We start from the raw sequence: 14,076 nt of genomic DNA on the forward strand, positions 1-14,076 counted from the left end.
GTTTTACTTACAACTGAAGAACAATGCCTGACTTGTAGCAGGCCCTGAGTAAATATTTGTTGAATGAATTCTCCCTCAAATGTTCAGTCAGATGCTGTACCTAGCATAGTTCCTTGTACTCAGTGGGCGACTAGTAAAATGTTGTGGATTTTGTTAATACTCAGACTCAGGTTATATTAAGAGTCCATTTTGTAGAATAGCTTGTATGTGCTTTTTTGTATTTTCCTGGGTGAGAATGGAACACCCGCAGACCCTGGGAATGCTTCTTAGTTGCCTGTCACCATGGGGAATTTGCTCAGCCTGTTTGCAAGGAAGTCATTCCATTGTACTTCCATTTAAAATATGATACAAAATGCTTTTCTTCTGAAAAATGAAAAACTTAAGAGGAAAATCTATTTCCCTTTCAAACTGTGAAACTTTCATAGCTGAATGTCTTAGATATATGCTACATTATCTTATCCCTAGATAAAAAATAACCTTATCCATTCTTATATTTTACTCTCTGACCTGTTACAATTTTATATTAGAAACATCTGTTTCTTTTCCTGTAACCCTAATCATCTTTCATTTTTATATTTTGAACAGTGTTATTTACTTGTCTACTACACCGGCTGGCGGAATGTCAAATCTTTTTTGACTTTTGGCTTAATCTGTCTATGCAACATGTATCTCTATGAACTGCGCAACCTCTGGCAGCTTTTCTTTCATGTGACTGTGGGAGCATTTGTTACACTACAGATCTGGCTAAGGCAAGCCCAGGGCAAGGCTCCCGATTATGATGTCTGACACCATCCTTCAGATCTATTGCCTTGGCTTCAGGGGGATAAGGAGGGAACATATCATAACTGCACTGTGATGAAGAAGCTGTTCCCCACAGAGGAGAAGCTCTGCTTTCTTTCTCTCCAACTTTCCTTTTTTAAAATCAGCATGATGTGCCTGTGAGCATGGAAGAGTCCTCTCAGAAGAATGTTGGCCATGAGACTATCATTCAGAGGAGGAGGGGATTTCTCTCTTCAAGGCCGTAACAGTGGAAGAACAGTCATATGCCATTGGAAGTCTTGGCCAGCAGTCCTGAATCCTTCCTGAAGAGTTCAGAAAATAGATGTGGTATTGCTCTGAGGACCAGGCAGGAGGAACTCTACAACCTGAGTTTGCCTTTGTGAGGCATTAGTATAGACCAAATAAAAAGCTGCAGAAATTGGAAAGTTTATGTTTTAAATAAATGACTGTGATAAATATCAGATTATTTGCACACTTATGGTACTACGAGTTTATAAAGTCCAAGATGGTGTGAAATTGGTTCTTTTTACTTTTATATTTTTGCTTGAATCTTAACTCTGGAAATCACCTGATGTAGAAGAAGACTGTGATGAGCTCGTCTGTGGAACATCACAAGTATCGAAAATACAGTAATGGATGTTTCCTTTCTAATCCACATTTATTGTTTCTTTTGAAATCACGTCTAAAAAATATGACTCACACTATAGCCGTTGTTTCCCAAACTTCAGTCTCTTTAGTACTACTTGTATTATTTTCTTAATATTTATCTTTTAAATTTTAAAGTTTTTTTAAAAAAATGAATCCTGCTCCAAGTGGAAAACCAGTATCAGTTTGCCATAAATAAAAGGTAACCACAAAATAAGTAAGATGAACACAAAAAATGTTGTTCAGTTCTAGCTAGAAACTAATGCCTAGAAAGGCTCCGAATCTTAGGCTCTTTCTTTGTGGCAGTGAGGGAGATGTTACCAGCACCAGCATGAGGCACTGTCTCTGGAATAGTCAGAGGATAAAAGGAAACTGTAAAGGGAATGACATTCTCACTGTGATTCAGCATTATTCTATGTTGTGCATCACTTAAAGACATGTTGTGTGCCACCAGTGGCATGGGTCCGCACTATGGAAATGCTTGACTGTAGTAAGAATCAGAAGGTGGCTTTCCTAGCAACTCATTATTTTATGGCTTTGAGGAATTAAGCCCCTAGTATCTGAGAGAACTTACTTGTTTTTTGATAACGTTTTAAAGATTGTTTAAGCAGTTATGAATTAATAATATAGGAAGCACAGTTGGATTCCACTAGCAAAATCTATAACTCTCATGGTTTTGGAAGTCATCTTCATGGGTGATTTTCCTTTGTTTTTTAAAGAAAATATTTCAAACAAGGAATTCATAGGATACTGAAATTTGATATCATCCAGAAAAACAGATCCCATTACATTGTAATTGTTGTTACTAGGCATATTTATTAAGTAGAGAAATAGAGGGTAAAAAGTTAGTGAACTGTCTTGTTTGCGTGAACCAGTATTTGTGGATATGTCTAGAACTGTAAAATCTTGCTTAACTAGAACCTTAGTCTGCACCCTCCTTTTAGGAGAATGAGGTAAAAGGAAGACAATAAGCTTATGATATCAGGGATTCATGTAAAACAGGAAATAGTAGTTGGCTCCAGTCTTCTCCTCTAACAAAAGTATGCATATTCTGAGAGATACCCCAAGGCATCACAAGATCCTGAATCATCAAAACACCATTGAATTGTGTTGGGCATTTTGTAGCCAGGAAAGTGAAGTGGTTCAATTTAGAAAGGGTTTCAGGCCAGGCACGGTGACTCAGGCCTGTAATCCCAGCACTTTGGGAGGCCGAGACAGGCAGATCACTTGAGACCAGTAGTTTGAGAATCAGCCTGGCCAACGTGGTGAAACCTCATCTCTACTAAAAATACAAAATTTAGCTGGGTGTGGTTGCGCGTGCCTTTAGTCCCAGCTACTCGGGAGGCTGAGGCAGGAGAATCGCTTGAACCCAGGAGGTGGAAGTTGGCAGTGAGCCAAGATCACGCCACTGTACTCCAGCCTGGCCAACAGAGCGAGACTCTGTCTCAAAAAAGAAAGGTTTTCTAAACTAATGGTTAAAACAGAATTTTCTTGTAAATAGGGAAGTTGGAGCATTCTGGTTGAGATTTTGCTCTGTATTGACACAGCTCGCACCAGTTTGGTTCAGGAGCTACCTCCTTGTCATTGAATTGACGAGTTACAATGTTTGGTATTCGGATACATTCAGCAAGAACACTTGAAAACTCCTCACCAACTATTTTTAAAGGCTTACTTTGTTTTTGTTTTTATTTTTTCACTGGCTATTTTGGATAAGAGGATGTTTACATCTTAATGTAAAAAAATGAAAACAGGTATAAATGTTTTATGTATAGAAATGTTTTCTTTCATTATTTGGTGCCTGTATCTCCGTGTTTATATCATTTCCCCACCTGTATCATTGCTGCCAAAAAAAGAACTTTGAATTTAGAAAAAGAAATTGGTGTAAAGTCCTGGCCGGGCACGGTGGCTCATGCCTGTAATCCCAGCACTTTGGGAGCTCAAGGTGGGTGGATCACGAGGTCAGGAGTTTGAGACCAGCCTGGTCAACATAGTGAAACCCCGTCTCTACTAAAAATACCAAAAAAAATAAGCTGGGCGTGGTGGCAGGCGCCTATAGTACCAGCTGCTTGGGAGGCTGAGGCAGGAGAATCGCTTGAATCCAGGAGGCGGAGGTTGCAGTGAGCCGAGATCACACCACTGCACTCCAGCCTGGGTGACGGAGTGAGACTCTGTCTCAAAAAAAAAAAAAAGTCCTTAGGCTCTTTAGAAAGAATCACTTTAGGCCTCCATGGTGTATGATCTTCTGTTTCTATTGCACTTCTAAGAGCAAGCCTGAGTTTACCTCCTCATAGTTTTGTAGCATAGGAGCAGTAGTAGCTGCCCTCACTCTAAGGGGGAGGACACAGAGGTGATCAGATGGTAATGACTTAGCCAGTTCACATAGCTAAGCACACACAACCCTGATCTAGTGCAGGGCTCTTCGCACTAGCATGGAACTAGTGAAGGTGACCAGTGTTATATTCAGGGAATATGACTGTTCTTGGTAAAGCCAAGGAGTTGAGGGGTTCTGAAATTGGTGAGTCCAGGCCTGCTGCTGGAGTATTTTATCCTAATAGGTGTATTTTATTTTAATTTAGATAATTCCTAAATACTGCTTTTTGATTAAGGTGTACCATGAGAGCGAAGATACCCTCTTTTATATACTAAGATAATTGCAATATTTGCTTGCTTTTTTCAGTCTGTATTTGAAATATATTTACATTAATACCTGGCCTCTTTCCCAAAAGCACTTGAAGCAGCATACCAAGAAAAGACATATACAGCCATGTTAATGAAATATGAACAGAAAGGGAAGAAAAACAAATGAAAATTGAAGGGAGGGTTTACATACATTATTGTATGTAAAATTTGACTCTGGAACTTTCTGGAAATCAAGGCTAAGGGTAGGGAAAGAAGTTATGCACTGCCCTATCAGTAGGTGAAAAGCATACCAGTTCCTTAGGGGAGAGCCTTTCCTGATGCCTTCTAGTAAAGGTGTTCTCACTGGGGGTCCTGTGAAGTGCTAAAATGAACAGAATTCTCGATTTTCACACATTTACATGTTATGATTGTGCCTTGGATCCTTACCTTGTACCAGCTTTCAAAGGCTTCCATTTCAGGATTTGGGGGGATTTGTGTAGGTGTGGTTAATAAAGGATTTTGTTTTCATAGGTAAGAATCCTAAGCTGAAAACAAGTATTAAGCTTGAAAATCATTTGAGACAAATGCCTTAAGACATGGAGAACCTTTACCCAATTCTGTATTACAGAATTATAAGATTGAAAGTGAGTGTGCTATCCTTGGATTGGCACATTTATATTGCAGTAAATGTCTCCACAGTGGAATCTAGTGTGGAGAGATGGACAGCTCCATTTCTGTTAGGCCACGTGTGGAACCCCATTAGACTCCTACTTCATCAGGGCTCCACAGAGACCAGAAGTTTGTCATAAAGGACCTAACCTCCGTGGCTTCTGAGGTCAGCTGCTCCCCTAAAAGGCAATTGCTTGGCCTTCATTTCAAAAGGTTTACTAAGTGACCTAAGGTCATACTCTGAGCTGTTGGGTTTCCAAGGAACTCAACAAAGGTTGTGTGTGTGTGTACACCTTCCTTGTTACTATTTTAACAGACTTTTGGCTCACTGTAAGAGTTAGAACTTCTGTGGAGTGTGTGGTAAAAGAACACATACGTTCAAGAGCAGCCACCACTCAAAACCTCATTGAACACTTAGCCTTAACCACAAGTTATAGGTCACTCTTTAGGGCCACATTCTTTGTCTGTGTTCAATGCTTTATAGTATTTTTCTGCCTTATCTCTAAGGAACCAAAGTCTTTCTCCCTAAAAATGCTGTGGTAAAGTAAGGTCTGATTTTAGGGTTAAATTGGCTTTAGTAATAACCTCGCTAAAAGTTAACAAAAGAAACCCAGCTCCAAGGGTTGTGACTGAGTTTGTGTAAAAGGGCTGAGTGAGCCGAGAATGTCACTCTGAGCATTACCGGTAAGGTTGGAGGTGTGTGATCATTAATGTTCTGGGGCTGCTGTTGAATGCTGGCAGATTGCGGCCTCCTGTTTAAGCATCGAGTTTTTCAAAGAGAAAAACTGGCTGCCACTCTTGTCTCTTTCTTGAGTGGCTGAGTTTTCTAGGTTATTTAGTAGATGAAATCAAAAGAAACGTGGAAACACTGTGTGGTTGGAAGCCACGTGGCGCATATGCTCCTGCTTGTTAACAGTGAGTGGTGTTGATGCGTGGGCATTCAGGTTTCTTCTGCGTTGGCAATGCTGATGTGTAATCAGTCGTCTCAGCACAATTGGGGGTTTTAGGAAACTCAGAGATCAGCCTTAGTTCTCAGAGTTTTTGAAATCAATATCCTAGCCTTATGAATTGTTCCTTGTGTTTCCTTGGCAACAAACAGTATTTTCAGCCCAAACCCACCCACGGTTTACATTCACCCCTTTCTCCTGCATCTCACAGCACAGCCATACAAGCATCACCCAACAGAAAGCACATTCAGGCACCATCTGACAACGGGAAGCAGGACTCAGGCATTCCACTCCCCATTTGTTCCTGGTGTCCCCTCCCCAGCTCTGCCTTGCTTGCTTACCTTCTTTGTGCCAGCACTTTTCTTTGAGGTTGGGTTGCAAAGGACCTTGCCTAAAGATGAACAAAGTATTTCATTCTTGCACTTTGAATCTCTCCAGTGCCTAGGACTAATGAGGAGAATGCTTGTTAGCTCATTTTGTGGGCCAGTGCTGGGTTCTCCTTAGTTCATCCTTATGGCAGCATGAGGTGGAGCGGGCACGATCTCATTTGCATTTGAGGAAACCAAGACTCAGGCCAGGAACTTGTCTTCGTATGGTATGACACTTGGTGGTGGATGTGAAGTTCAAATTTGGAGTTGGGTTTAAGTCGCTTGAAAGTTGGTGCTCATTTTTCTGTGCCACAGTGCATCTCAGAAAGACACTTCTTAGGGAATGTGTGTGTGACTGACGACAGCTGGGTTCTTACTGTTTTAGCAGCAGTGTGAACAGATGAAGCAGACAGGAAGGGGGAAATGGCAATGTATACTGTGTGACAGGCACTATGCTAAGCATCTCATCTTTACCGAAAGCATTTATGAAGGTTTTCTCTTTTAAAAATGAGCCACCTGGGCCATGAAGAAGTTAAGTGACTTGACCACAGTCACAACCTAACCCATGTGGTAGCATCAGGATTTCAGTCCAGATCTGACTCAGAACTCATGCTCTTAACCACCATGTGATTTTAAGCTGGATAACATGGAAATACGTTTAAATATATAAGGAATATATGTAAAGGTAATATACATTACTTTTAAATAAGACATCAGGTCAGTGCTAACTCCTACAGTATAGATGTCCCAGGTTGAATAAAATAGTTTCCTAAAATCTCTACATTTATAACAATGACATAGGACAGACAGGTGGCTGCAAGATGTATGGTGAAGCTTATGTATACCTTAGCTATTAGGGCAAGAAGTATACATTTTAGTACTTGTACTAAAACTAACATATAAATTAATCTTGATGTGGAAAATAAAAGCATTATTGGTGATTTGGGTGTTACAAACATTTGCTTTTCCTAGCAAAATGCCAGAATAGGTTGATTCTTTGACTTGATGTCATTTAATGGGAATTCTGTTAGGTGATTAGGGAATTTGTGATCCCTCTGAAAACATTAACCAAAAAATAGAAGGGAACTTTTCACAGTGTAAAATAGTGTTTAAGAGTTTGGAGCCAGAATCATCCCTGGCTCTCTCTTCTACTAGCATGGTGACCTCAGCAAATTACTTAATCCTTCTGCCTCAGTTTCCTCAGATGTAAAGTGGGGATAATAATCGTACCTTTGGCAAAGCAGTGTTGTGACGATTGAGTGCGTAAATGTAAAGCACTTAGAGACTGGCACATCAAGTGCTAGGAGAGCGTTTGCCACCACGTTGTGGTCTTCCTTGTTGCAGTTAAAGGTGCTAAGAGTCTTTTAAATTGCAAATGCCCCTGAATGTCGTAAATCATTGCACAAAACTTTTCAGAAGCCACCACTTAAGTAAGAATCCCATTGAAATATCTAGCAGGCAGGCACTTGTGGGCAGACTTCTGGTCAGGGCACTGGAGGTGCATCCAAAGAGAGAAGAGGGGGTTGAAGGACTCACATTTGCCAAATGCCTGCTGTATGCCAGGTGCTTTGCCCACCTTAAAGTCCTCCTGAGGGAAGGAAGCAGGATGAAGCCCTGTGTCACACACCTGGGAGTGGTAGACTGTGCTCGCCAGTACCTGCAGAGTCTCCCAGGCACTGGGGTGCTGGTGAGTGAGGGAGGTGCCTCTAAGAACCTTGCCCTATCCAGCATGGAACCAGCATTTTGGTCCCAACACACCTGACTTGGAACATTCGAATCTGATCTACAATTTGCTCATGGATGGCAGCAGCCCTTGTGCCCACACTCTGAGGGCCCTCGTGAGTGTGCACACGCGTTGATGGGAAGATGAGGGGTGTGGGGAGGCAGCCACAGCCTTCAGCTGCAGTATCATGCAGATGCTGGGGACGTGAGAGCTGAAAGGCGCTCTTAAATTGCACAAATGCAACATGGCTTTTAAAAGAATCTGAGGCAAAAGGCACCCTCCAAAAAAACCCATGTGAGCCGGGAGGGGACTGCCACTATAGCTAACAAAGTGGGGAAGCAATTTTGCAAAGTAAGAAAACTAGTCTCAGGCTAACCAGAGATGCTGACAAACCTGAGATTCCAGGCAGATCTAAATTAGAAATCGGTCAAGGGAAAACCGTGATAGTCCCCCTTATGGATTCCAGTGAGAATTCTTTAAATTCATGGCCCTGATGGAGTAGCAGTAGGAGAGAGAGGCCCTGGGGATGCAAATGCCCTCAGTGGATCAGCTCTGCTCACTAGACACTTGGGCAGGTGAGGTTGGGCGCTGGGAATCCCGTGGGGACAGGATGCCTGCCTACTTGGCCCTCAACTCTAGGTGAATCCTATCCTTCTCTTCACCGTCTTCCTCCCCTTCCCTCTCTGGACCCTCTGCTTGCTCTGTGAACCTGGATTGATCTCCACTCACCCGTCACTCCTGAATGGGGCCCTCGAAGGGAGACACCCCTGACTGTGCTGATGTTGTGAACGCTGCTGGGCCAGACTGGTGTCTGCAGGAGGACAAAGCAAGGGCTGGTTCTGACTTTGGTTTGAAGGTGATTTTCCCACACATCCCCCTTGGCACGATACTTTTACCTCATTTGTCTCTGTGCCTTTGGCTCTAAATCTTAACGTCTTAATTAGATTGTGTTTATATTTGCACCATACATGTGGTCTGGCACTTGAAGATTGGATAGAGAGTGACACAAATATTTAGACTCAGGGAGTGCCAGTGGAGGGAGAGAGTCTGGAGACCAGCTACTCCAATGCCCTCATTTGCCTTTGCTCATGTCCGTCTCGTCAAGCAGGGACCCTGCAGGTGGGAAAGAAAGATGGCGAGAGGACAGCCAATATCACATTTTCCTTCCCAAGACAGGGATGAAAAGCCACCAAGACGGCTTTTGTGAAAATCTGGAAGGACAAGAAAAGCCCACTTAAGTCATCAGATCTCATTTCATCTATTGTTAACCTTGAGGAGTGGTGAGCCCGCTGTTCCTGCCAAGCTCTTCAATACCCAGCTAGATGGGCACCCTGAACAGAAGTGCTTCTGGACTAGTGCCACAGGGACTGCTCTGAGTACCAGGGTGGCCTTGGGCAAGGCTCTGGTCCTTTCTCGAATGGCTTCCCAGGCCTGAGGAGGCACAGGTGAGAAAATGTGTGTGGAAGCTCTCTACACACCGTGAAGTTCATCCAAATGGAGTGGGATGGTCTCTCTGGTCTGCTGTGCCCTCCCCCTCCCCACACCCATAAATAACAGCAGCCCTTCCAACTCTCCTCCTGATCCTGTGCTCAGTGATGGGGGCCTTGCAGTGGGCAGCCAGGGCCAGCATGGCCAGCATGGCCAAGCCCTGTCAGTCCCTTCCCTCTGAAGGTGAACTGGACAGCATTTGTTCTCTTTAGTGTGTGATTTGGATTTAGACAAATTCAAAAGCTGCCGTATTTCAGAGCGTGTTTGTCACTGCCATCATCGTTCTTTTGTTCAGGCAGCAGTGAGAATCTGCTAAGCACTTGTGAACACTATATGCTGAAATGCCTGAAAAGGCTTTCCTGCCCTGCAGGGACCCGGGCTCAGCACCTTTTTCAGACTCCAGGAAGCTCATATCCCGCTGATGAACAGCTCGTGGCCATTGCAGCACTATGGAAAACCCGCAGCTCCTGGCGTCATTTAACTACATGCCACTCAGGTAATTTTGCTTTTGGAAAAGTTCTGTGAATGTATTTCTAACTTTGAATGTCTTAAGAGTAAGGTGGCTAGCTGGTGAATATTTATTTTGAGCCTCTCCAATGCACCAGGATTCACTGTCTTCCCACTAATTAGCTGCTAACATCACACTACAGTCAAATCATCACCATGTTGGCTGAAGTCTGGTCTTGGTTTCAGTGATGTTTGCTGTCAGTGGGCGTTAAAGTGGTGTTCAAAACTCACCCCACCTATCAAAAGCATCTTTTCAAATCAACTTTTTGCTTATTGGTGTTCTAGATATGAATATGCTTTTGGAAAAAAGTAGACCCTCGTAAGGGAGAAACAAGTAGGTTCTCTGGGACTAGCTCAGTGGGGATGGGGTTGGAAAGGGCTTTTGATGGTTTTGAGTTGCATTTCCTTGGTATCTACACGCGTGGTTTCATGGAGCCTGCCTGAGGGCCTAGTCTCTACTGGCTACAGCAGGGTGGAAGTTCTTCAGGAGCTGAGGTTCCCACGTAGGCCAATTGGCCCCTTAAGTTTGAACGTTTTATCATTTGGTCTCCTTTTCTAATGAATGTACTCCAGCATGAAAATTTCTCAGACTTAAAGTCTTACCTCAGTAAAATGACATCTTTCTGCAGGCACATTGAAGTCCTTAATGATGTCTACCTTCTTTGGAGCAGGAGGCCACATGCCCAGGACTGACATCTATGTCCCCACGTGGCTATTGGTCAGTGAAGCTGTGAAATCTTTTTCACTGCTGCCTTTATTTATACCTGTGTTCAACTTAATGTGAGCAACCCCCTCTGAATTTCTTTCCTTAACCCAAATATAACCTGGCATTTGATGGCACAGCAGGCAGAAGTGCTGACAGGGGCCCCTGCCTCCCCTACCACCTCTCCCTTCCTCTCAGCGGGGAGAGGAGTCCTAGGTCCGCATGAGTTTCCTTGCATGGGGTTTGACGGCAGACAGGCCTGCTCTGAAACTCATCTCTGTTCATTACTAGCTGTGTGGCCTTAGGCAAATAACTCAACCTCTCTGTACCTCAGTTCCTTCATCAGTATGATTAAATGAGATAATGTTTGTATGGTGCATATCCCAGTGTGGCACACAGAGAATGCCATCATTATTAGCTATGCAGGTCAAATCAGTTCACTTCTGGCCTGCAGCTTGTCCCCACTCACCTGCCTGGGTCCTTTCCATTATCTGTGTTCCATGCCTGTGTTTTCACCTTTCTTTCCCGTGGCATATAAACATGTTTGGCTCATCCAACATATAAACATGTTAGAGCATCCTTCCCTGGACCTGGTCTTTTCTGGTCTGATCCTGGATTTTGTATCCCCTTCACTTCTGGTCCCTACTCAGCTCTTGTTCCTCAGCCTCCTGCTCTGGGTGCACCTGCTCCCCAGCCCCATGCACTGACTCTTGCTATGGTCACCAGTGTTCTCCCACAAGGACCGCAGTCTTCAGCCAACATTATCTCTATAGCAAGGTGCTGTCCCCCACTCAGGGGAGTTCTCTGCCCTCTGCGGCTCCCCTCCCCAGCACCCCCAAGGCTGGGTACACTGTTCTTCAACCCAGGGCCAGGCCCCCCTGGCTCAACCTGCAAATCAGACCAGGACACATTACCAGTGAAAGTGTTTAATAGTTAAATTATTTAAATAGACTTTTCAATTTCCATGGGAAATCATAATCGTATCTGTTTTTGCAAGAGTAGGAATAAAAAGAGTGCACACCCTTTAGAGGGAACGAAGAGCTAGCACTGCACCTGCACACTGTCACCAGTCACTGCTGGGATGGGAGAGGGGTCCCCATGGGGCCGGGAAGCCATGACCATGGGAGAACATGGGATGAACTCAGCACACACACTTTACTCAGGTTGGAAGCAGAACGAAAACCCAACACCACTGGCGGGCGATGTGGAGGGGCAGGGAACTTGAGAACAACAGCTGGAAGAAAGCAGGCCTCCTGTGGCCGACGTCAGGATGGCAATGCAGAACTCAAAGGATGGAGCAGCAGAAGCACGGGACAGACTCAGGCTTGGCAGTTTTGGGTCCACACACTTTGCTTCTCAGAGCTGTGTTCAGTTGGTGTGCGGGGAGGGGAGGGTGGTGCTAGAGCCCAGTGAGAGGTGGTACAGGTGGACATCAAAGTCACATTGTGGCAGCTGGCACAGAGCCACTGCCTCATCACCTCCAAGCTCATGTTGGAGGTGAAGATCATTCTAACCTGAGAAGCAATGGAAAGATTTGGGCATGGGCCCTAAGGATTCCACTGAATTCTGTGCTAGAGTATCATTTTCCAAATGTCTTCCTCATAGGTTATAAAAATAGTATTTTTTTCTTGGTATGTTTAACTGCCCCCTCCCACTAAAACAAAATTCCTGCTAGCTTTCCCTGTGGACTCTAAAGCTGGGCTCTACCCATTCCTCTGCCTGGTTTGCCGGTGGAGGTCAAGGCCACTCCCTTTCCGCAAACCTGAAGGCTGCACATTGCATCCCCCAGTCTGAGTGAACATCTCCAGGAAGAGCCACCTGCACCTTGGCCAACTGAGTAGGCCAGGGAGGCTTGGCTTCCTCGTCCCAGCCTGCAAAGCACCTGGCCTTCTGTAAGCACTCTGGAATCTGTGGGCGCTGCCTCTGTAAGCCGCAAACGTCTGAAATCTCAGGGTGTGGAGGGCACCACACTGCCTGTCGCAGGATGAGATTGCTTCCCTTGGTTCCAGCTCGGCCTGGGATGGGAAAGCAGCTTTTTGTTTTCTTATTCCATCTGCGTTTTGCTTAGGGGAAGGAGGGTGTGTGCATGTGTGTACATACGTGTGCGTGTGTCAGAAAAGATGGGGCAGTGTGTCCATGCATCCTCCTACTTAATCTGAGCATATGGTACCCCAAAAGCACACACCCACTGCTCTGGTGGTACCTTGGAAAACCCAAAACTGCCAAATCTGAAATGAGGGAAACACATCCTGTGTGAGACCAGTTCCACAGCATGAACACACACACATATACACCAGTACATACACCGACATACACACAGTACAAATGAGCACACCCGCCCTGCTGTGCACAGCTGTTTTCTAATATAGAGAATTTACAAAATATAGAATTTGGCATATCTATCTGTGAGATCTCCAAGGCTTTCAATAATACAAAATAAAAAATACAAAAAAGACAAGTGGGGATCCCCGCCCTCCCCCCGAGTGGCGTCCTCGTTTGCTTGTGTGTCTCTTACACGCATACAACTAGCATAGTCTAAAGAAGGGCACGGAGAACTTGTTTTGTTTTATTTAATAAATATTTTTCTCAGAATCACCACTCCTTGCTTGGCGTCCTCTTGCCTCCCCCTCGTAATTAGTTCTGTTTCCCTCCTAGGGCACTGTCTGTGTGCGTGGAGGTGTGGGCAGAGGACCACGATGAAGGCCACAGTCCCTCCAAAGCCAGCACTCCTGTGCCAAAGCCCCTGCAGGTGCAGGGTGGTGGCCTGTCTGAAGTTTAAAGGCTCACATAGAAAAGCAGACCCCTGGGGCCCCCTAGGCTCTCCCAGGCCACATTCGAGCCCGTCTACCCCCAGCTGAGTCGGAGGCCCCTCAGCCCTGCCCTTGTCTGGGCCGTGCCACACACACATTCCCACGGCTCCTTTCCACCTGTGCAGCAGCACCTGTTAGAAAACTCAAGCTTCAGACCCAGTCTAGCAGAGTCTTCTACAGAGGGAAACATCTTTGGTCAGCTGGGTGCTCGCAGGACGCTGGCACCCCGGGGCCTGGGACAGAGGCCGCTGCCCACCAGCAAAGGCAGAAGCTGCTCTGGAGTCCAAGTGGAAAATCTCAGCAGCGCAGCCCTGCGGGCTGGAGCATGGCTTCCCCGCCACCCCCGGCACACAGAGAAGCTGCTTCCATGCCTCTGGAGGCCAGGCTGCCTGGCACCATTGGCCAACAGCTGCTAACTGAGCGGGGGCCCTCCATTGAGGAAGTAGGTCATCATCTCGCCTTTGCCCTTGACCTTGACCACGCCCCGGCACTCCAGCTGGTACGTGTTGGCAGCCAGCACCTGGTACATGTCTGTGGTGACCTGTGGGGGAACAGGAGGAGAGAGGGCAAGCCACTGATGGCCTTGGCCATGAACTGCTGTGGGGTAGAGCCACCTCTGACTGCCCAGCCCTGTTGCCGCCCCTGACACAGAAGGAGAGGGGCAGCTGCCCCACTGAGGTGCTCTCAGGGACTGACAGACAGCAGCTCACCATGGAAGGGATCCTAAGAAAAGAGCAACGCCAGCTCTCACCCTCAGCACCTGCTCGTGCCAGGCACTGTGACGGGCAGCTTGCGTGTGCTGTTTCAGTGTGGCCTG

The 14,076-nt window shown here is 45.5% G+C and overlaps 2 protein-coding genes across 24 annotated transcripts in view; one reads left to right on the top strand and one right to left on the bottom strand.

The window, feature by feature from the left end:
• SEC22A (SEC22 homolog A, vesicle trafficking protein) overlaps positions 1-3,200 on the top strand; it is a 72,194-nt gene extending 68,994 nt beyond the window's left edge. For all 6 annotated transcript variants that reach the window (XM_011512675.4, XM_011512676.4, NM_012430.5 and 3 more), the window contains one exon: positions 586-3,200. In XM_011512675.4, the coding sequence (XP_011510977.1) occupies positions 586-786 (201 nt within the window). In that variant the 3' untranslated portion in view covers positions 787-3,200. The remainder of the gene's footprint in view (positions 1-585) is intronic.
• The window catches only part of ADCY5 (adenylate cyclase 5), a 166,795-nt gene continuing 164,078 nt past the window's right edge, over positions 11,360-14,076 (bottom strand). For all 18 annotated transcript variants that reach the window (NM_183357.3, NM_001378259.1, XM_011512359.3 and 15 more), the window contains one exon: positions 11,360-13,800. In NM_183357.3, the coding sequence (NP_899200.1) occupies positions 13,672-13,800 (129 nt within the window). In that variant the 3' untranslated portion in view covers positions 11,360-13,671. The remainder of the gene's footprint in view (positions 13,801-14,076) is intronic.

Source organism: Homo sapiens, chromosome 3 (genome assembly GCF_000001405.40).
Source record: "Homo sapiens chromosome 3, GRCh38.p14 Primary Assembly".
Classification (NCBI taxonomy): Eukaryota; Metazoa; Chordata; class Mammalia; order Primates; family Hominidae; genus Homo; species Homo sapiens.